This window comes from Homo sapiens, chromosome 22 (genome assembly GCF_000001405.40).
Source record: "Homo sapiens chromosome 22, GRCh38.p14 Primary Assembly".
Taxonomy (NCBI): Eukaryota; Metazoa; Chordata; class Mammalia; order Primates; family Hominidae; genus Homo; species Homo sapiens.
In genome coordinates, this window is record NC_000022.11 from 42,622,781 (window position 1) to 42,643,487 (window position 20,707).

A 20,707-nucleotide genomic window follows, 5' to 3' on the forward strand; every position below is an offset into this window, starting at 1 on the left:
CACCATGGATTAGTCCTGAGGAAACTGTGGGGCCGTAGGAGGTGCCGGAGGCAAAGCAGGGGCAGATGGCAGGACATGAGACCCCAAACTGGTGCTCACACGGGTATTCAAAAATGGTGCTTCCAACACTTAGAAATTTCCCAGAAAATGCAGGTCCCCAGCTTCTCTTGAAAAGCAGAGGCCCTGGCCACACAGGGCTATACTCCACAGCGGGATTGCCCACGGCGGATGGGGCTGTGTCCTCCGGACCAGGCAGATGCGCTCCAATTTACCGCAGTTGCCGCCACTCCCTAGTCTCTCAGCCCTGAAGCTAAACATCACCAGAATGTTTCCTGGGGAAGGCTGAGCTCTGCTTTTCTTACAGCAAAGAAGAAATTGAGATATTACTTATACCTACATCTCTATCTGAAGCCGAAAAGGGAAGGGCGCTTTAACTCCCAGAGGCAACCTCACTGCAAGTGGTGGAGGTGGGGCGGCCCTCACTCGCTGCCTCCAGCTTGGCTCTCCCACAACTCCCTTGGCAAGCAGCTCAGCCACTGGACAGGTGGAACAAGGGTAACCCCAACGTCGGCCCAGCCCACTCCCCAGGGCTGACAATGGGAGAGAAGATGGCCTTGGTGTAACTCGGCAGCACCTGAGAGTATGCACGCTGGGATGTGGAAGCAGCAGCCGCCACCGCTGCCCCGAGACTTGCCCCGAAGTGAGCCCCGCCCAGGGAGGGGACGCTGGCCTTCTCTGCCCAGCTGGGCAGTGCAGTGCGCCCGGGAAAGGACTCTGCCTCTGGAGGCGAGGACCTGGGTTTCAGGCCGGGCTGTGGTGGTTTCCGGCTGTGTGGCTTCAGTGAGCCCTTGTTCCTCATCTGTGAGACGGGGCCACACCACCTGCCTCCCACAGGGCCATAGTGAGTGCCAGATGTCGTCCAAAGGCTCAACGCCACAAACAGCTGGGCAAAGGTGAACTGTGGGCTGGCACCTCCCACCCACCCAGTGAGGGGCCTCCCTCACTCACCTTCAGGGGCTCTGTCCAGCGTGTACCAGAGCTTGAAGCGTGCAGAATGTTTGTTCCTGAGTTCCTCCAGCTCAGGTCGCAGCAGGATGTCCTTCTCGGTCTGCAGGGGACAGGGCCAGGCAGTCAGGAAGGATGGGTGGCAGACTGCCCCTGGAGACACTCAACAGAGACGCGCCTCGTCATCGCGCCCGCCTGCGGGCCACACGCTTGCGGAGCTTTCAGGAGGGGACTCGGCCAGAGATCACCCTGGCACCCCTCTCTCCTTGTCTAGCCTAAGGAGCCCCTCAAAGCTGCTGCTGAAGGGGCGAAGGCGTTCGCTAGAAACTCAGTGTGTCAACTGCTTCTGCTGTTGTGAGGAAATGGGCTCGATGTCCCGAGAGTGGGAAAAATGGAAAAAACTAAAGGCGGCCAAGCTGCGCGACAGCAAAAAGGGAAGAGACGGGAAATGTGCCAAGATACTCCAGGGGGTCAGCCCGGGAGCGGGTGTAACACATACAATAAGCAATGGCCCCGTGAGAAGGCTCAGGATTTGCACCCTCAGCCCTCCGGCAAGTCTTTTTGCGTTCTGGGATCTCATTCAGGTTGTACCTCCAGAAACCAGGAAGTACAGACACCACTCCCCACCCAACCTGGCCCCCTCGGGCCTTGCCCACACCCATCCTCCTGGCTGGCCTGCGGCTCCCCCACCCCCACCCGGCTGTCACAGAGCCCTACAGAACTCAGTCCAGCGTCATCCCTTCCAGGAAAGCTTCCTGGACCCTCCAGGGGCTATCAGGGATCTCCCCCTGAATCCCCCACCCGACTCCCCGCCCCCCACCCCCGTTCCACCTCTGATCACATCACAGGCTGCTGCCCAGCGTTTGCAGGTCACACAGGGACAGAAGGGGCTCCTTAGGTCAGTGTGCAGTGTCCCTGACCTCAGGGAACTCAAAGAAACCAGGGGCCAAAGAGCGCTGCCACCCAGAAAGGGCTGCCCACTAACAAATCGCTACTGAGCTCCCAGGCTGGGCAAGGGCGGGGTGGACTCTCCCCAGGAGGCAGCCACAGACGTGACTCCTCTGTTCCCAGGGCTGGGGAACTGCACCCACCCTCCGCGTAGCCCAAGGGTGCCTGAATACGGGAATCACCAGCTCCTTGGTGCTCCCCTCCAGCAGATGAGCTGTGTGAGGGGCATAAGCCTCAACACATCCCAGGGAACACGGGGTGTTGAACAGTTTTTCCAGTTTCTGAGGGTGGGAGGCTGAGGGCCCTTTCTGCCCTAATGGGGTGAGGACAGGGACAGGGACAGGCTTTGGGCTAGATGAACTCAAGGAAAAAAATACAGAAAATATGGAAGAAAAAGTACCTGAAACCCTTCAGAAATAATGACTGTTAGGATTTTTGTGTGCATCTTTTCACTTTTCTTTTTCTATTAACTATGTGTAACTTTCTTTTTAGGCCAGGCATGGTGGCTCATGCCTGTAATCTCAGCACTTTGGGAGGCTGAGGTGGGTGGATCACTTGAGCTCATGAGTTCGAGACCAGCCTGGCCAACATGGTGAAACCCCGTCTCTACTAAAAATATAAAGAATTAGCTGGATGTGGTGGCGGGCACCTGTAATCGCAGCTACTCAGGTAGCTGAGGCAGGACAATCGCTTGAACCCGGGAGGCGGAGGTTGCAGTGAGCCGAGATTCACGCCATTGCACTCCAGCCTGGGCAATAAGAGTGAAATTCCGTCTCAATTTTTTTAAAAAAAGTTATGTCTTCCTCTCTGAGCTAAAGTGTGTCTCATGCTTTAATCCTCACCACCATCCTTTGAGGTGGCCACCGCCGCGACCCACCTGACAGATGAACAGAGGGATGGAACCTTGGGGGGCTGCTACTCGAGGGTAGGGGGCTCCCAGCTCAAAACCAGGCACTGAGGTCACGGAGGAAGGTAGGAGAGGAAACGAGCAGCAATGACCCGACTGGCACGGTTCTCGGAGTGTAGCATGGGGACCCCTGGGGTTGGGACCCTGGAGAGGATCCCTGAGGCCAAATGGTTTTCATATAATACTGAGACACTGGTATTTTTCACTCTTCCTCTCTCAGTAGATGGGGCCACTTTCCAGAGGCTGCGTGACTGGCAACATCACACAGATGGGATGTAGAAACAAACACAGGAATCTAGCTGTCCTATGAAGCCAGACATTCCAAGGTTTGCAAAAACGTAAAACAGAATGATGTTTTCTAAAATAGTTTTTTAAAAATAAAAATAGGCTGGGTACTGTGGCTCACGCCTGTAATCCCAACACTTTGGGAGGCTGAGGCGGGTGGATCACCTGAGGTCAGGAGTTCGAGACCAGCCTGGCCAACATGGTAAAACCCCATCTCTACTAAAAATATAAAAATTAGCCGGGCATGGTGGCACACATCCTGTAATCCCAGCTACTCGGGAGGCTGAGGCAGGAGAATCACTTGAACCCGGGAGGCGGAGGTTGCAGTGAGCCAGGATTGTGCCATTGCACTCCAGCCTGAGGGACAAGAGCGAGACTTTGTATCAAAATAAATAAATAAATAAAACCCTGGTTTGCATCCTGGTTTCAGCACTTCCCACGAGACATGCACAGTCAAGCCCCTCCCGGAGCCTGTGTTCGGAGGTATGAGATGAGGCGACCACACTGCCCTCGCTACCAGCTGCAAAGATGGCCTGTACAGGTGACAGACGGTCTGACGGCCTCCACAGACTCTGAACCAGCACCACCAAGTCTCACTGCTGCCCTCTCTCCCTCCACACCAGCCAGCTTAGAATTTCTGGCTCTTTCTCCCCTGGGCCTGGCAAGGCCATCTTGGTTGGCCTTGCGGCAGTTTTCTGCAGCTGCGGGGAGGCAGGGTGGGGCAAGGACCCACATCCAAGGACCTCAGGCAAGCATCTTCTCCCCCAAATCTACGTCATCAGTCACAAAACACTAACCTGAAAAGACCTTGCAACAACCCAGTTTCATCAGCTCATTCTACAGATGAGGGAGTGAAGCTCAGAGAGGGAAAGTAGCTCGTCCAAGACCACACAGCAGGCCAGGGCGGGCAGGCAGGCAGTGGGCTCGTGGACAAGGATATGAATCAGGAGCCAGAGACACCAACATTCAAATCCTGCCCTGACACCCTGTAGCTCAGGGGCTTCGTGCAAATGTCTGGTCATTTGTAAGATGGGCCCCTCCATGTCCAGGCCAGCATTCTTCCCACTCTACCAGTGGGTTCCACACCGTGCTCATGGTGAAGGGAGTTCTGAGTTTTGGAGGAAGCAGCCAGGGGAGGGGGTGCTCAGGGAGCTCCCCGCAAGGCAGCCCCCTCAGCCAGACACAGGCGCTGCACCACAAAGCCTGCCCGCCGTGCTGCTGCCAAGGCCGCCAGTGCACAGAACATTCAGGGCCCCCCATCCCGGTCATCCCCAGAATCTCAGCAGAGCTGTGCAGACCCCTGGAACAGCACCTGACCAGGCCCGAAGTCCCCTCTCAGGGTAAGCTGAGTTTCCCCATCATGGGGATGCCCACTGACCTGGTTGGCAAAGAGCAGGTGGCACACAGTGTGGTCATCAGGGTCCTTCATGATGGCGCGGATCACCTGCAGCATCGGGGTGATGCCTGCAAAATAGCCGGCCGGGCCTCGCACGTGCTGAGCGAGGCCTGTTCACAGGCACCGCCCCGCCCAGGTGTACTGGGGTGGAGGGGCCAGGACCACTGGGCCTGGGCCCCTGACCTCTGGTAGCTCCCAGGCACTCAGAACCTGCGCCTCACCCACACCCCAACCCCACCCTTAACATGAGCCGCCGGACGCCTCAGTGGGGGGTTCCGTGTACCTGTCCCTCCCGCGATCATGCCCACAGACTTCACTGTCCTGATGATAGGGTTGGACTTTTTGTCAGGTCGGATGGCGAACTTCCCTGGGGAGAGAGAAGGGGTGAGGCCCGGCCATCAAACATGCCATGTGTGGTGGCTGGAGAGGCTGGAGAGGGGGCTGGAGAACCTGCCCCCACTGTGAGGTCCGAGGTAGAGGCAGCTGCCATTCTAACGCGAGCCATGAGGAAGGTGCAGGAGCAGTGGAGAGGCTGGGAACCCGGAGGCTCAGCTCTGTCCTCTTGCTTGCTTGTTTCAGATGCTGAGAAAGCCAAATAGAGGCTGGCAGTGGGTGAGACGTGGCCCCCAGGAGTGGCCTGTCTGCAACCCCTGTGCCAGCAACTTACCCCCTCTACAGCCAGGGAGACTCAGTTCCCAGAGAGGGACAGCTGGCCTGACGAGAGTCACCCATCCACACAGAGCCAGGGGCCTGCACCCTGCACCCAGCACGCCCAAGCTCTCCAATTCTCTGAGCCTGCCGTGTAACCAAGGGATTCCGACCCGAATCACCTTTGCCCTGGTAGACCAGCAGCCCACTGGGGCCCCGGAACTCAATGGTGTCTCCAATCTGCATGCTCTCCAGGTACTGAGACATCTTCCCTCCAGCGGGAAACTTGGGATGGGTGTCCTTGAAGTAAACCTGCAAGACACCCCCGCAGCCCTCAGTCCCCAGCTCCAGGTCTCAGGGGCGAGCTCTTGCCCACAGTGGGAGACAAGTGCCTCTTCTGCAGCTTCTTCTGAGGCCCACACATGGCCTTCTCCCGTGGAGCCCCATCCACCCAGCCGTCAAATCCTACCTGTCCTGCACCCCGTCCTTCACCCCGTCCTCCCAGGAGTCAGCCTCCACCTGACATATCCGGGGAAAGCAAACCACCAGCCTCGTGTACAAGGCCGACCAACTCCAGGGCTGGATGCACTCACATTTCACCAACTGTCTCTGGGGCCCCCTCCCAACGGGAGACACTGAACCCGTCAGCAAAGTCAAGGCTCTGGGAGGCCCACTAAGCCACACTCCTCCTGGTGGACACTCAGTCCCTTCCGTTTTGTGCTGTCGCTAAAAACCTCCCTCACTCTTGGGACTACTTCCTGCCCTGCACTCTCTAGGATTACTGTCTTGGGAAAGAGAAGGGCCTCAATCCGACACCTACAAAGAAATGGGGAGACAGAGGAGGAGCGGCTCACCCTGCCCAAGGAGTCTGATGGATGGAGAAGGGGAAGGTGGCTGGGGGAGGGACAGCGTGTACACAGTGCCTCAGGGAGGGGAGCCTGTTGTGGCTTCAGCACAGAGGGTGGCTATGGGGTGTGGAGGCAGAGGGGAGTGGAGGGCCACGGACAGGCAGGCAGAGCACACTGTCCTGGGCCCTGGGTGCCAGGCCAGGACTCTAACCTTTATCAAGGACCAAGGGAGCCAGCCAGGTCTCCAAGCCAGGAGAGGCCTGGTCACCTGTGAGTTTTTCATCCTCAATTTGAATCCTCCTAATAGCTTCTCCACATTTGGCCAGAGAGACTTCAACGTGAACAGATGCTTGAGCCCTCATCACCTCCTCTGTGCTTCTGGACAAAGCCCCAAACCTTACTGGGGCCTCCAAGGCCCCGTCTGGCCCCACTGACCTCTCCCACCCCTTGCCCCAACCCTCCAGCCACTTCAATCCTTGAGCCTGCTGCTGACTTCAGGGCCTTTGCACCTGAAGCTCCTTTTCTTCCTTCTTCACCTGGTCAGTGCCTACTCAGCCCCAGATCTCACCTTCACTGTCACCTGCTAGGGAGCCACTCTCACCAGCCAACCCCACCCATCCCTGGTGGCCCTTCTGGAAGCTCGGTCGCAGGTACCTGTCCCCTGCAGGGAGCACTGGCTTCCCCATGACTATGTGTCCAGTGTCCGTCCTCCAGCCAAAGACGGGCTCCTGAGGCCAGGCCTGGGCGCCCCAGCAAGGAAGGAGCCCGGGCCAGGGCCCTTCCCACCCTTCAGATCCAGTGCCTGCCCCCAGACCTGGCAAGGTAAGGGCCTCAGCTACGGCCCAGTAAGGGGGCTCCAGGGGTACCTGAGGGTGCTGGGCTGGGGAGGCTATAGGGCTTTGGCCTTGATTGGGGAGGGTCTCCAACACCCCACATACCCACTGGTCTAGGCTGCTTCTCACCCTCTGTTCTGCAGGAAAGCTTGTATTTCTTTTTTTTTGACTGGCTCTCATTCTATTGCCCAGGCTGGAGTACAGTAGCATGATCTTGGCTTACTGCAACCTCTGCCTCCCAGCTTCAAGTGATTCTCCTGCCTCAGCCTCCCAAGTAGCTGGGATTACAGGTGCGCACCACCATGCCCAGCTAATTTTTTTGTATTTTTAGTAGAGACGGGGTTTCTCCATGTCGGCCAGGCTGGTCTCTAACTCCTGACCTCAGGTGATCCACCCGCCTTGGCCTCCCAAAGTGGCTTACAGGTGTGAGCCACTGTGCCTGGCTGAAAGCTTGTATTTCTAATTTTCATAAAAACGTCCCTGCTGGGGCCGTCATGCTGCCTCTTACTTCCCACTCGGCATGTGTGTTTCAGGTTCCGGGCTGCTGCCCCTAACGCCTGCATCTTCTCCTGTGAACCTCCACCTCGAACCCCGCAGCAGACCCCAGAAAGCCCATCACCCCAGCTCCCAGACAACACCACACGAGCCCCTCACATGTTTCCCTAGCAGGCCTGAGGGACATTTCTTAGGGAAACGGGTAAGAACAGGGCCTGCGTGTCACAGAGGCCCGGCCGCTGACCACGGTGGAGTGGCTGCCTCACCCCGCACACTCGGGACCCAACTCCCAGGGATCTCCCAGCGTGAGAGCAGGGACGGGACTGCGCCGTCACACCTCGCAGCAGGGGCGTCTGTACCGCCAGCCGGCCTTCCTGGAGCCTCTGCTGCAGGTACCTGTCCTTGTTTGAAGGCACTTGCCCTGAACCCTGGCCCCTGTTCTCTGCCAAGACCCCCTTCTTTGGCTTTTGTTGGTAAAGATGACGTGCTATTTACTCAGAAACCAGGCACAAGGGAGCACTGGGTCTTTGGAGTCCGGGCTGCGGGGGGACATGGACTCGAGAGGGGCTCTAGAAGCCACTGCCCCTGCAAGCCCCTGAGGAAGTGGGGCAGCCATGACCGAGGCTGGGCTGCACAGGGCAGGAGCGGGAGACTTCCCTGTCCAGGGGGTCCACATGGGCTGTTGCCATGGCCACCCACCCACACCCCCTCCACAGTCATGACCCAGAGGCTTCACCTTGATGACCAGGTCCACGAAGCCCTTGTCATCATCGCTGGAGATGGGTGTATAGGGCCGGACGACCAGGTTTCCATCAATTCGAGCCGAGAGGTAGATGTGCTGGCCTGCAGGACAGAACGGGGTCACTCTGGGCCAGAGATCATCCTGCGGGTGACCCCTGGGTCTTGTCAACCCACTCCCCTGCACCCCACCCGGCATTCAAAGCCTGGCCTGGCGTCAGCTCCCACGGCCCCCTCCCACCCCTCCCGGGGATTCCCCTCACGTCCCAGCTTCCTGCCTCCATGCCTTCACTCCTGCTGGTGCCACTGCCAGGGACTCTGGGCCTTCCCACTCTCATTCCAACAGACTCGCCCTCAAAGGCCCAGGGCAGCTGTCACCTCCTCCTGAAGGCTTCCCTGCTCTCCCTGGTGGAAATGTAAAGCTTCCATCTCTCTGATCTAGTGCCCCAGCAGCCTGCCGGGCTCCGAATGGGCCCAGCAGGGGCGTGACTCACCGACAGGGAGGCCCAGGATGTGCTGGGGTGACGGCAGGGCAAAGCGGAAGCGCCGGGTGTCATGGCTGATGATCTGGAGAGAGGCCCAAAGCTGCTGAACGGTCCCCAGGGCAGAGGCCTCCCAGGGCGGCTCCCAGGCCTCGGAGCCCCCATCCCATTCCTCCTTTGTGTCCCCACCCTTCCCCAGTGCCTGCTTGTCCTTGTAAGACGTGACGCCGACGCCAAGCACAGATGCACACACATGCACGCTGCGTGTGAGGTGCTGAGGCCAGGCGCACGCTGGGTGTGTCTGTCCTGCTGGCCTAGAGGGGCCACAAACAAGGTGGCCAGAACAGGGAATGAACCCAGGGTCCCAAAGGGAGGATGCCAGACAGGACGGGGAGGGAGGAATCCATCTCTGCCATCAGCTCAAGCAGTGGCCTGAAGGGGCAGGAAGAACTTGAGGGCTGGATGGGCAAACTGGGGCAGAGCTAGACAAGGCTGCACGTGCCCAGGCCTGCATCCCAAGAGAGGGGCTGCAGAAGCCACTGCACCTGAGAGCCCCTTGGGAAATGGGGCAGCCAGGACTGAGGTGGGCTTCACAGGGCAGAAAGTGGGAGCCTTCCCTGCCCAGGAACTCCAAGAGCCCAAAGCCAGGCTTCCACCCTGCACAGGGTGGGCACCCAGGGCATGGTCAGTGGCTGGGACAGTGGCAGAGGAGGAGGGGGGCTGGCTAAGAGCCAGATTGGGCCAGGGAAGGAGCTGAGACTAAAACCCCTGAGGTCTTGTTAAGTGGGTCTTACGCTCAGGCCAGGGACGATCACATAATCAGTTCCAGTCGGAGCTGGAACCAAACCCAGCGTCCTGAGGGTGCACTCCCTGTGGGGTCCCCAGTACCCAGCATGGCCAGGAGAGGGAGTGTGAAGAAGCCATGCGGAAGGTCGGCGCTGCAGAGGCGCTTACATCCAAACGTGGCAAAGTCCACATGTGGATGGTGTCATCACTTAGAGGGGGACAACAGACCTCTCCAACAGGGCAGGACATCACAGATGCCCATCTCGGCTCAGTACGAGAACTCTCCGACCTGAGCAGTGTTCCAGCACAGAGCAGCTGCCTCAAGGAGAGACCCGTCCCTACACGTGTGAGCAGAGGCAAATCGCAGGAAAGACGGTGCAAACGCCACTCAGGATCAGGTGTGCAGGGGGCCCACCAACCTCTCCCAGGCAGCCCAGGCCTCAAAGCTGCCTCTACCAGAAGCTTCTGCATTAGGGGCAAACAGAGCCCCAAGGCCTTCTGGAAGTGGATTCCAGGACTATCAACTGGTCCTAAGGGTCAAGGTCAGACACCCATGTACCAGAAAATATTTGGAGGAAGAATAGAAATGAGATGGCCAGGCGTGGTGGCTCATGCCTGTAATCCCAGCACTTTGGGAGGCCGAGGTGGGCGAATCATCTGAGGTCGGAAGTTCGAGACCAGTCTGAACAACATGGAGAAATCCCGTCTCTACTAAAACTACAATGTTAGCCAGGCGTGGTGGCGCATGCCTGTAATCCCAGCTACTCAGGAGGCTGAGGCAGGAGAATCACTTGAACCTGGGAGGCAAGGTTGCAGTGAGCTGAGATCGCACCATTGCACTCCAGCCTGGGCAACAAGAGTGAAACTCTGTCTCAAAAAAAAGAATAGAAATGAGGACAAGAGATGAACAATTATGGTGCTGGCCAACCTCTAGTAGGGCAGCAGGGTGGGGCAAAGCACAGAGCACCCAGAGCAGGCCCGCTGCGGACCCCGCAAAGCCACCATGGGCACAATGAGGGGGCAAAGCTGCAATCCTAGGACATCTGCCACATGCTCCCTTGTGTAACATCCCTATGATGAAATACTAAAAGGATCCATGTTGTATGGCTGGCTACAAAACCAGGTTATCAAAAAAAGAAACTGAGTGTGCACACACCCGCACCTCCACACACCCGTGTATGAACGTGATACCCACATAGGGTCTGGCAGGCTCACGCTGAGCTGTGACCTGGGCCCTCTGCACGGGGCCCTGGGATGCGGCAATGGGGCAGGGGTGGAGGTCATACCTTACAGAGTTTTTGCTGTGAGCACATATAAATCATACATTATTTCTGGAATTAAGAAACAGTAGGGTCAGACGTGGTGGCTCATGCCCGTAATCCCAGCACTTTGGGAGGTCGAGGCGGGCGGATCACCTGAGGTCGAAGTTCGAGACCAGCCTGACCAACATGGAGAAACCCCATCTCTACTAAAAATACAAAATTAGCTGGGCATGGTGTCGCATGCCTATAATCCCAGCTACCTGGGAGGCTGAGGCAGAAGAATCACTTGAACCTGGGAAGTGGAGGTTGCGGTGAGTCGAGATTGTGCCATTGCACTCCAGCCTGGGCAACAAGAGCGAAAGTCCATCTCAACAACAACAAAAAGGAACGACAGTAACAGAGCCAGGCATAGTGGTGCATGCACATGGTCCCAGCTACTCAGAAGGCTTGTGCCCAGGAGTTTGAGGTTGCAGAAAGCAGCCTGGGTGACAGAGCGAGACCTTGTTCTAAAAAAACACAAACAAAAACAAAACAACCCACCAATAACAATAACAAGGGAAAATACCGTTAAAAAACAGGTTTCAAAATGTTATTATTTCATTTGGGTAAGAAAAAAACATGTGTGCCTGCTTACATAAGTATAAAACATATCACAGGGCCAGGCACGGTGGCTCACGCCTGTAATTCGAGCACTTTGAGAGGCCAAGTCGGGTGGATCACCTGAGGTCAGGAGTTCGAGACCAGCCTGGCCAACATGTTGAAACCCTGACTCTACTAAAAATACAAAAAAAAAAAAAATTAGCAGGGCGTGGTGGTGGGCACCTGTAATCCTAGCTACTTGGGAAGCTGAGGCAGGAGAACCGCTTGAACCTGGGAGGCAGAGGTTGCAGTGAGCCGAGATCACACCATTGCACTATAGCCTGGGCAACGAGAGCAAAACTCCATCTCAAAAACAAACAAACAAACAAAAAATCATATCGCAAGGTTAAGTGTGGTCTCATCTGGGAGGTGGTGATTTACTTTTTTTTGCTTTTTATTTTTTATTTTTTTGAAACAGAGTTTCGCTCTTGTCACCCAGGCTGGAGTGCAATGGTGTGATCTTGGCTCACTGCAACCTCTGCCTCCCAGGTTCAAGCGATTCTCCTGCCTCAGCCTCTCAAGTAGCTGGGATTACAGGCATCTGCCACCACGCCCGGCTAATTTTCATATTGATTGATTGATTGATTGATTGAGACAGCGTCTTGCTCTGTAGCCCAGGCTGGAGTGCAGTGGCACGATCTCGGCTCACTGCAAGCTCCACCTCCCAGGTTCACGCCATTCTCCTGCTTCAGCCTCTGGAGTAGCTGGGATTACAGGCATCTGCCACCACGCCCGGCTAATTTTCATATTGATTGATTGATTGATTGATTGAGACAGCGTCTTGCTCTGTAGCCCAGGCTGGAGTGCAGTGACACGATCTCGGCTCACTGCAAGCTCCACCTCCCAGGTTCACGCCATTCTCCTGCTTCAGCCTCTGGAGTAGCTGGGACTACAGGTGCCTGCCACCACGCCCAGCTAATTTTTTTTTTTTTTTTTTGAGACGGAGTCTTGCTGTCACCCAGGCTGGAGTGCAGTGGCGCAATCTCGGCTCACTGCAAGCTCCGCCTCCCAGGTTCACGTCATTCTCCTGCCTCAGCCTCGCCAGCGGCTGGGACTACAGGTGCCTGCCACCACGCCTGGCTAATTTTTTGTATTTTTAGTAGAGATAGGGTTTCACCGTGTTACCGGGATGGTCTCAATCTCCTGACCTTGTGATCCGCCTGTCTCAGCCTCCCAAAGTGCTGGGATTACAGGTGTGAGCCCAGCCACGCCCGGCCAATTTTTTGTATTTTTAGTAGAGACAGAGTTTCACCGTGTTAGCCAGGATGGTCTCGATCTCCTGACCTCATGATCTGCCCTCCTCGGCCTCCCAAAGTGCTGAGATTACAGGTGTGAGCCACCACGCCTGGCCTAATTTTCGTATTGTTAGTAGAGATGGGGTTTCACCATGTCGGCCAGGCTGGTCTTGAACTCCTGACCTCAGGTGATCCACCGGCCTCGGCCTCCCAAAGTGCTGGGATTACAGGCATGAGCCACCGTGCCTGGCCAATAATTTACTTTTCATTTTGTATTTTTTTGCTTCTCTCTGGTTGTCAACTTCTCTGTGAGCTCCTGGGACAATTACAGACACTTGCCCCAACAGTTACAGGAAACGGCCAGCTCCGTGCCATGGAAGCCTGAGATTCCTGTGAAGCCTGAGTCAGAGGCACCAGGCACAAGCCCAGGGTGGAGACTTGGGCCCTGGCAGATGATGTTCTCTGCTGTGACTCAGTTTTCCCTGCCACACCCCTCCTGTGCCTGCTGGGGGTGGCCAGAAATAGAGCAAGGGAGGGGCTCTGAAGAGGGCAAGTGACCGATGGAAGCAGCCTTTACTGGGGGCAAGGCAAAAGAGGGAGAGGATGGTTTTAAATCATAATCAGAGCTTTGAAAAAAAGGAGTCAGGCCGGGCACCACGGCTCATGCCTGTAATCCCAACACTTTGGGAGGTGGAGGTGCGGGGATCACTAGAGCCCAGGAGTTTGAGACCAGCCTGGGCAACAGGACGAAACCCCACCTCTACAAAAAATACAAAAATTAGGCTGGGCGCGGTGGCTCACGCCTGTAATCGCAGCTACTCAGGGGGCTGAGGTAGGAGAATCACTTGAGCCTGGGGAGGCAGAGGTTGCAGTGAGCGGAGATCGCACCACTGCACTCCAGCCTGGGACACAGGGCAAGACTCTGTCTCAAAAAAAAAAAAGTATGAACTCACTAATGAAAGAAAGTAAGAATCAAACAGGGCAGAGGAAGCCCACACAGCTCAGAGCACCCAGGGAATCTGCACAGATGTGAAAGGTGTCCAGGTCCAGTAGTACCAGGCTGTGGGGAATGACTCTGGGGGAGGGGGAGGAGGGAGGAGACCTTATCTTCAAATCTCTCACCCCCTGCATTCCTACCCCATAAATGGGGGATTGAACCTAAAAGTTCTGAGGGGTTCCTTCCATTCTGACCTTGCATGAGGCAGTGAGTGTGGTTCAGAGAAGGGGCTCTGTGGACAGAGAGACCAGGGTTTAAATTCCTCTGCTACTTCCTGGTGGCCTTAGCAAGAGACATCACCTTGCTTTCTCCATCTGTAAAATGGGTGGACAACAGTATCTACTTCAGAGCAGGACCATGCCCTGAGCACAGAGTAGGTGCTGGGCAATGCTGTGATGCTGACGAGGCAGCGGCGGCGGCCGGCACTCACCTCCCGGTCGATGAGCCGCAGCGGGTACTTGATGTCCGGGCTCTCGAGGGTGATGGCTGGCGTGGAGCGCTGGAACAGCTTCATGAGCAGACTGTACAGGAACCAGACTGGGAAGAGCACCATATGGCCCAACTGAAACGACAGGACCCGCGGGGTCAGTGCAGGAGCCTGCCTTTCCCCAAACACACCGGCTTGTCCACACTACCAGGCCTCTGCTCACGCTGCCCCCTCTGCCAGGAGCACCCTCTCCCCACCACCCTCATCCAGAAAGCTTCATCATCCATTTTGGTGCCCACTAGGAGAAGCTATAAAGACCAGCCTCATGACACCTGTCACTGAGCATTACCTGGGCTTCTATGCTCAGTACCATGAGAAAAAGCTCCATTTCCTCTGAAGAGCCAGGACCAAAAAGAGCTGTGGGTCTAAGCACATATCCTTTTTCACTTTGGCTACTAGGAAGCTCAGAGTAAAATTAATCTTGAGCATAATGTATTTGTGCTCCTTCCTTCTCTTGCTTCCTTCAGTCAACTTCCCTGGTCTTATTAAGTGATGTCAAGTTCTAGCTTGATTTAGACAAACAGACAAATAATAACCCCAACTCAGAATCTATCTGAAAGGCCTACACTGACCAAATGGCTCTATGGCACCTTTAAATCCAGTCCCTTGGGGCCACTGGGATTGATGCTCTCCTCTTTGCTCTCCCACAGAGCACACTAGAACAAGCCAGTGAAGCTGAGTAAACTGAGCCACTTCCCCCAAATGACATCCATGAGTGTCCCTGAGCCCTGGGGTTCTGCCATCAGGTGTAAGGGGAAGCGAAGCACTGAGCCAGGCACTGGGAAGGTCACTGGCTGTGTGACCCCGAGAAAGTCCCTTCCCCTCTCAACCTGAGTGGACCAGGTGATCTGCAAGGCCCCCAGAGCTGAGACCCTACAGCTCAGATCACCAAAGCCAACAGCCTCTGGGATCCCAGGGCCACGTCGGGTACCACACGGGCACGGCTCTCGCAGCAACCCCGTGTGGTAGGCACTGTCATCACCACCATTTCGCAGATGAGGAAACAGCCCAGAAAGGCAAAGCGACTCACCCAGTCACACAGCTGGCAGGTGAGGAGCTGACCCAGAGTCCACCCATCCCTTATACCACGCTGGGATACCTCATGACCAAGTGGACCCTGCCACACGGCCCTGAGGGGCTGTTCCTCCCCAGCCCCTGCCCCCGACATCTCAGTCTCCTGAAGGCCCTAAAAGGGGGCTGGGCATAGTGGCTCCAGCCTGTAATCCCAACACTCTGAGAGGCGGAGGCAGGTGAACAGTTTGAGTCCACGAGTTCAAGACCAGCCTGGGCAACAGGGTGAAACTCCATCTCTACAAAAAATATAAAAAGTTAGCTGGTTGTAGGCCCGGTGCAGTGGCTCACGCCTATAATCCCAGCAATTTGGGAGGCCAAGGTGGGTGGATCACCTGAGGTCAGGAGTTCGAGACCAGCCTGGCCAACAGGGTAAAACCCCATCTCTACTAAAAATACAAAAATTAGCCGGGCGTGGTGGCAGGTGCCTGTAATCCCAGCTACTTGAGAGGGTGAGGCAGGAGAATCGCTTGAACCTGGGAGGCGGAGGTTGCAGTGAGCCAAGATCATGCCATTGCACTCCAGCCTGGGCAACAAGAGTGAAACTCCATCTCAAAAAAAAAAAAAAAAAAAAAAAGTTAGCTGGTTGCAGTGTCACACGCCCGTGGTCCCAGCTACTCAGATGGCAGAGGCAGAAGATTGCTTGAGCCCAGTAGTTCGCGACCAGCCTGGGCAACATAGCAAAACTCTGTCTCTGTTGAAAAAAAAAAAAAAAAAGACCCTAAAAGTTGGTTAGAAAACCTGAATCCCTGGGCGGGCACAGTGGCGCATGCCTGTAATCCCAGCTACTCAGGAGGCTGAGGCAGAAGGTTGCCTGTGGAGGAGGTTGCAGTGAGCCAAGATCACACCACCACACTCCAGCCTGGGAGACAGAGCAAGACTCCATAAAAAAAAAAAAAAAAAAAAAAGGCCGGGCGCGGTGGCTCACGCCTGTAATCCCAGCACTTTGGGAGGCTGAGGCGGGGGGATCATCTGAGGTCAGGAGTTCAAGACCAGCCTGGCTAACATCGTGAAACCCAGTTTCTACTAAAAATACAAAAAATTAGCTGGATGTGGTGGCGCATGCCTGGAATCCCAGCTACTCAGGAAACTGAGGCAGGAGAAATGCTTGAAGCTAGGAGATGGAGGTTGCAGTGAGCCGAGATCGTGCCATTGCACTCCAGCTTGGGCAACAAGAGTGAAACTCCATCTCAAAAAAAAAAAAAGGCCAGGCGCTGTAGCTCACACTTGTAATCTGAGCACTTTGGGAGCCCAAGGCAGGCAGATTACTTGAGGTCAGAAGTTCGAGACCAGCCTGGCCAACATGGTGAAACCCCGTCTCTACCAAAAATACAAAAATTAGCTGGGTGTGGTGGCAGGCTACCCCAGCTACTCAGGAAGCTGGAGCAGGAGAATCATCTGAACCTGGGAGGCGGAGGTAGCAGTGAGCTGAGATCGTGCCACTGCACTCCAGCCTGGGTGACAGAGCGAGACTCTGTCTCAAAAAAAAAAAAAGTGGGGGGGGACCGGGCACGGTGGCTCACGCCTGTAATCCCAGCACTTTGGGAGGCCGAGGCAGGTGAATCACCTGAGGTCAGGAGTTGGAGACCAGCCTGGACAACATGGAAAAACCGCGTCTCTACCAAAAATACAAAAATTAGCCAGGTATGGTAGCGGGCGTCTGCAATCCCAGCTACTCAGGATGCTGAGGCATGAGAATCACTTGAACCCAGGAGGCAGAGGTTGCAGTGAGCCGAGATCATGCCACTGGACTCCAGCCTGGGTGACAAGAGCCAAGACTCCATCTCAAAAAAAAAAAATTGAATAAGGCTTGTGGATTAGATAATAGTGTTGTACCAATGTTACTTTCCTGTAATTATTCTGTGGTTACGCAAAGGAATGTCCTTGTTCTTAGGAGATACACACTGAAATATTTAGGGGCAAAGGGGCAACTTACTCTTAAATGGTTCAAAATATAGACACAGTTGACCCTTGAACATGGGTTGGAACTGCTTGATTCACTTTTTTTTTTTTTTGGAATTTCTGACAAATCTTATTTTATTCAGATAGCAGTCTGATCACACCTGGTCCAACAACACTCAAATAATAAATCAAATATAATCAGATGTTAAGACTGGTCTTCAAACATTCTAGCCAATGATGCCACGCTTGCCTGTGATCTCTCTGACATAAAACCACGTCGACACCTCAGTGGCCACCAAACCGTTCAGCAAAGCTTCCTTAACTGTGAGCTGTTTGAAGCTACCAGTCTGAGCACTACTGACTATTTTTTTCAGGCTCTGAATAGCTCTAGGGATCTCAGCAGGGGTGGGAGGAACCAGCTCAACCGTGGTGTAGTACCAAAATGCGGCCAATCGAGGCTTCAAGTAAGTCACAGCAGCATTCACCAGTGCTGGGGTCTTCTCCACAAGGTTACGGACAAATGGAGCCATGGTTCTGGGATGGAAAGTCCATCATCCCGAATGGCCAGCTGAAGGTCACCCCCCGGAAGGACCCTGCGTGGTTCACTTATTTATTTATTTATTTATTTATTTATTTATTTATTTATTTATTTGAGATGGAGTCTCACTCTATCACCCAGGCTGGAGTACAGTGGTGTGATCTTGGCTAACTGTGACCTCCGCCTCCCGGGTTCAAGTGATTTTCCTGCCTCAGCCTCCCGAGTAGCTGGGATTACAGGTGAGCACCACCACGTCTGGCTAATTTTTGTACTTTTAGTAGAGACAATGTTTCGCCATGTTGGCCAGGCTGGTCTTGAACTCCTGACCTCATGATCCACCCACCTCGGCCTCCCAAAGTGCTGGGATTACAGGCGTGAGCCACTGTGCCCGGCCAGGACCCTGAGTGGTTCACTTATACAAGGATCTTCTTCCTCTTCTGTCACCCGAGACAGCAAGACTACCCCCTGCCTCCTCCTCAGCCTTCTCAACGTGAGAACAAGGATGAAGACCTTTATGATGATCCACTTCCTCTTAATGAATAGTAAATATGTTTTCTCTTCCTTATGATTTTTTTTTCTCTTTATTTATTTTTTGAGACGGAGTCTTGCTGTCACCCAGGCTGGAGTGCAGTGGCACGGTCTCAGCTCACTGCAACCTCCAACTCCCAGGTTGAAGCAATTCTTCTGTCTCAGCCTCCCGAGTAGCTGGGATCACAGGCGCACGTCACCACTCCTGGCTCATTTTTGTATTTTTAGTAGAGACAGGGTTTCACCATGTTGGCCAGGCTGGTCTTGAAGTCCTGACCTGGTGATCCTCCTGCCTCGGCCTCCCAAAGTGCTGGGGTTACAGGCGTGAGCCACCACGCCCGGCCCCTTATGATTTTTAAAATAACAGTTTTCTCTAGCTTACTTTACTGTAAAAATATAGTATATAATACATACAATATACAAATATGTTATTGGTAAGGCTTCTAGTCAATAGTATATTAGTAGGAAAGTTTTGGGGGAACCAGAAGTTATACATGGATTTTCTTTTTTTTTTCTTTTATTTAAGACAGATCTGGCCCAGGCTGGAATGCAGTGGCGCGATCTTGTCTCACTCCAACCTCCGCCTTCTGGGCTCCAGCGATTCTCCTGCCTCAACCTCCCAAGTAGCTGGGATTACAGGCGCACGCCACCACACTTGGCTAATTTTTATTTTCTGTTTTGTTTTGTTTTTTTGAGATGGAGTCTGGCTCTGTCACCCAGGCTGGAGTGCAGTGGTGAGATCTCAACTCACAGCAACCTCCACCTCCCGGGTTCAATCGATTCTCCTGCCTCAGCATCCCAAGTGGGTGGGATTACAGGCGCCCACCACCACACCCAGTTAATTTTTGTATCATTAGTAGAGACGAGTTTTCATCATGTTGGCCAGGCTGGTCTCGAACTTCTGACCTCAGGTGATCTGCCTGCCTTGGCCTCCCAAAGTGCTGGGATTACAGACATGAGCCACAGCGCCTGGCCAATTTTTGTATTTTTAGTAGAGCCGGGGTTTTTTCTCATTGGCCAGGCTGGTCTCATCGAACTCCTGACCTCAAGTGATCCACCCGCCTCAGCCTCCCACAGTACTGGGATTACAGGCATGAGCCACTGCACCCAGCCTATACGTGGACTGTCAACTATACAGGTCAGCCCCTAACCCCCATACCATTCAAGGGTCCACTGTATGGATATGCACACATGTAGTATCTAATATATTTAACATACATTAGATATATACTGTATAGAGAGAAATAAAGCAAATGTAGCAAATAATAACATTAGGTACATCTGGGTGAAGAGTACATAAGAGCTCTTTTTTTTTTTTTGAGACAGGGTTTCACTCTATCACCCAGGCTGGAATGCAGTGGCGTGATCTCAGCTCACTATAGCCTTGACCTCTTGTACCCAAGCAATCCTCCCAGCCCAGTCCCCGAAGTAACTGGGGCTACAGGCACGTACCACCAGGCCTTGGTAATTTTTTTGTATTTTTTGTAGAGATGCGGTTTCACCATGTTGCCCAGGCTAATCTCAAACTTCTGAGCTCAAGCCAACAGCCAGCCTCAGCCTTCCAAGTTCTAGGATTGCAGGTATAAGCCCCTGCGTCCAGCCCATAAATGTTCTTTTACAGTAACTTTGAAATTATTATTTTTTTTGAGATGGAGTCTCGCTCTGTTGCCCAGGCTGGAGTGCAGTGGCACGATCTCAGCTCACTGCAAGCTCTGCCTCCTGGGTTCACACCATTCTCCTGCCTCAGCCTCCCGAGTAGCTGGGACTACAGGCGTTCGCCACCAAGCCCAGTTAATTTTTGGTATTTTTAGTAGAGACGGGGTTTCACTGCGTTAGCCAGGATGGTCTCGATCTCCTGACCTCGTGATCCGCCCGCCTCAGCCTCCCAAAGTGCTGGGATTACAGGCGTGAGCCACCTCGCCCGGCCAGTAATTTGAAATTATTTCAAAATAAAAAGTGTGTGAAGCCCATACTGGTAGTTCAACTAGAGAGGCTGAGAAGCCAAAGTTCATATAAAACACTGGCTCTCAAGAAAGCTGTTTCAGAGCTTGTTTATACACCCTCCCCATATACCTCCCTGATTGTAGTTCTCCCAGCAAATGTGCATGTGTGTTCTCTTATCATTACCCTACAAGTTCCCTTTTCACTTTGAGTGCCAGGAAGCTGAGAAACAAGTTCCTTGCATGCGTGCAGGCCTCTCTACTTGCTTTGTGGGACCTGCTACGGGCCCCTTGAGGTAGTATATCCTGCAGAACACAGACAAGTGCCTCTGCTCTATTCAGAGCCAGGTAAGATGCTCCTAACCTCTCAAGGCCTAGCCCCATTGCCCCTCCCCTTCTGGAAACACTACCAGGAGTCCCTACTCTCCAACAATTTGAGGAGGACGCTCTGGTGGAGCCACGTGTCCTGTCTGTAAAAAGCGAGGGCCACTGCCTGGCCTATCTCCTTGAAGCGATGTGAGATGAGATGAGCTGGGGCCCAGGTCACGTAGGGGTCTATAACCTGGGAAGTCCCGGCTCACACACAGGAGCTTTTCCTGCCACCCTCACGGGGCCACTACCAACTGAGAGGAGTGGAATAGCCAAGTGAAGGAAGGGCAGGGTGCTACAACCTCACACCAGGCCTGGCCCCCGCCCCCCCACCCCCCACCCTGCAACGGCCCAGCAGCTCCAAGCTG

General features: G+C 54.4%; 2 protein-coding genes across 7 annotated transcripts in view, besides 4 other annotated features; both read right to left on the reverse strand.

Moving 5' to 3' along the window:
• Nucleotides 1-20,707, reverse strand: part of CYB5R3 (cytochrome b5 reductase 3) — a 31,553-nt gene that overhangs the window by 4,941 nt on the left and 5,905 nt on the right. For all 6 annotated transcript variants that reach the window (NM_000398.7, NM_007326.4, NM_001171661.1 and 3 more), the window contains 7 exons: nucleotides 13,935-14,066; nucleotides 8,598-8,670; nucleotides 8,102-8,208; nucleotides 5,372-5,501; nucleotides 4,825-4,908; nucleotides 4,524-4,609; nucleotides 1,009-1,108 (listed from right to left, as the gene is read on the reverse strand). In NM_000398.7, coding sequence (NP_000389.1) covers nucleotides 1,009-1,108; nucleotides 4,524-4,609; nucleotides 4,825-4,908; nucleotides 5,372-5,501; nucleotides 8,102-8,208; nucleotides 8,598-8,670; nucleotides 13,935-14,066 — 712 coding nt within the window. The remainder of the gene's footprint in view (nucleotides 1-1,008; nucleotides 1,109-4,523; nucleotides 4,610-4,824; nucleotides 4,909-5,371; nucleotides 5,502-8,101; nucleotides 8,209-8,597; nucleotides 8,671-13,934; nucleotides 14,067-20,707) is intronic.
• Nucleotides 813-1,367: an enhancer, noted in NCBI's record as "H3K27ac-H3K4me1 hESC enhancer chr22:43019599-43020153 (GRCh37/hg19 assembly coordinates)". NCBI's record gives its function as "activates a minimal SCP1, AML or CMV promoter by ChIP-STARR-seq in naive H9 embryonic stem cells {active_cell/tissue: H9 hESC(naive)}" and the evidence as "EXISTENCE:reporter gene assay evidence [ECO:0000049][PMID:30033119]".
• Nucleotides 8,731-9,232: an enhancer, noted in NCBI's record as "H3K4me1 hESC enhancer chr22:43027517-43028018 (GRCh37/hg19 assembly coordinates)". NCBI's record gives its function as "activates a minimal SCP1, AML or CMV promoter by ChIP-STARR-seq in naive H9 embryonic stem cells {active_cell/tissue: H9 hESC(naive)}" and the evidence as "EXISTENCE:reporter gene assay evidence [ECO:0000049][PMID:30033119]".
• Nucleotides 13,435-13,972: an enhancer, noted in NCBI's record as "H3K27ac-H3K4me1 hESC enhancer chr22:43032221-43032758 (GRCh37/hg19 assembly coordinates)". NCBI's record gives its function as "activates a minimal SCP1, AML or CMV promoter by ChIP-STARR-seq in primed H9 embryonic stem cells {active_cell/tissue: H9 hESC(primed)}" and the evidence as "EXISTENCE:reporter gene assay evidence [ECO:0000049][PMID:30033119]".
• Nucleotides 13,973-14,508: an enhancer, noted in NCBI's record as "H3K27ac-H3K4me1 hESC enhancer chr22:43032759-43033294 (GRCh37/hg19 assembly coordinates)". NCBI's record gives its function as "activates a minimal SCP1, AML or CMV promoter by ChIP-STARR-seq in naive H9 embryonic stem cells {active_cell/tissue: H9 hESC(naive)}" and the evidence as "EXISTENCE:reporter gene assay evidence [ECO:0000049][PMID:30033119]".
• Nucleotides 17,023-17,821, reverse strand: ATP5MGL (ATP synthase membrane subunit g like). Its single transcript, NM_001165877.1, has one exon. The coding sequence runs from the start codon at nucleotides 17,492-17,494 to the stop codon at nucleotides 17,192-17,194; it is 303 nt and encodes a 100-aa protein (NP_001159349.1). The 5' UTR covers nucleotides 17,495-17,821; the 3' UTR covers nucleotides 17,023-17,191.

Excerpts from the sequence above, each read along its gene's own strand:
- ATP5MGL (NM_001165877.1), bottom strand. The coding sequence starts at position 17,494 with ATGGCTCCATTTGTCCGTAACCTTGTGGAGAAGACCCCAGCACTGGTG.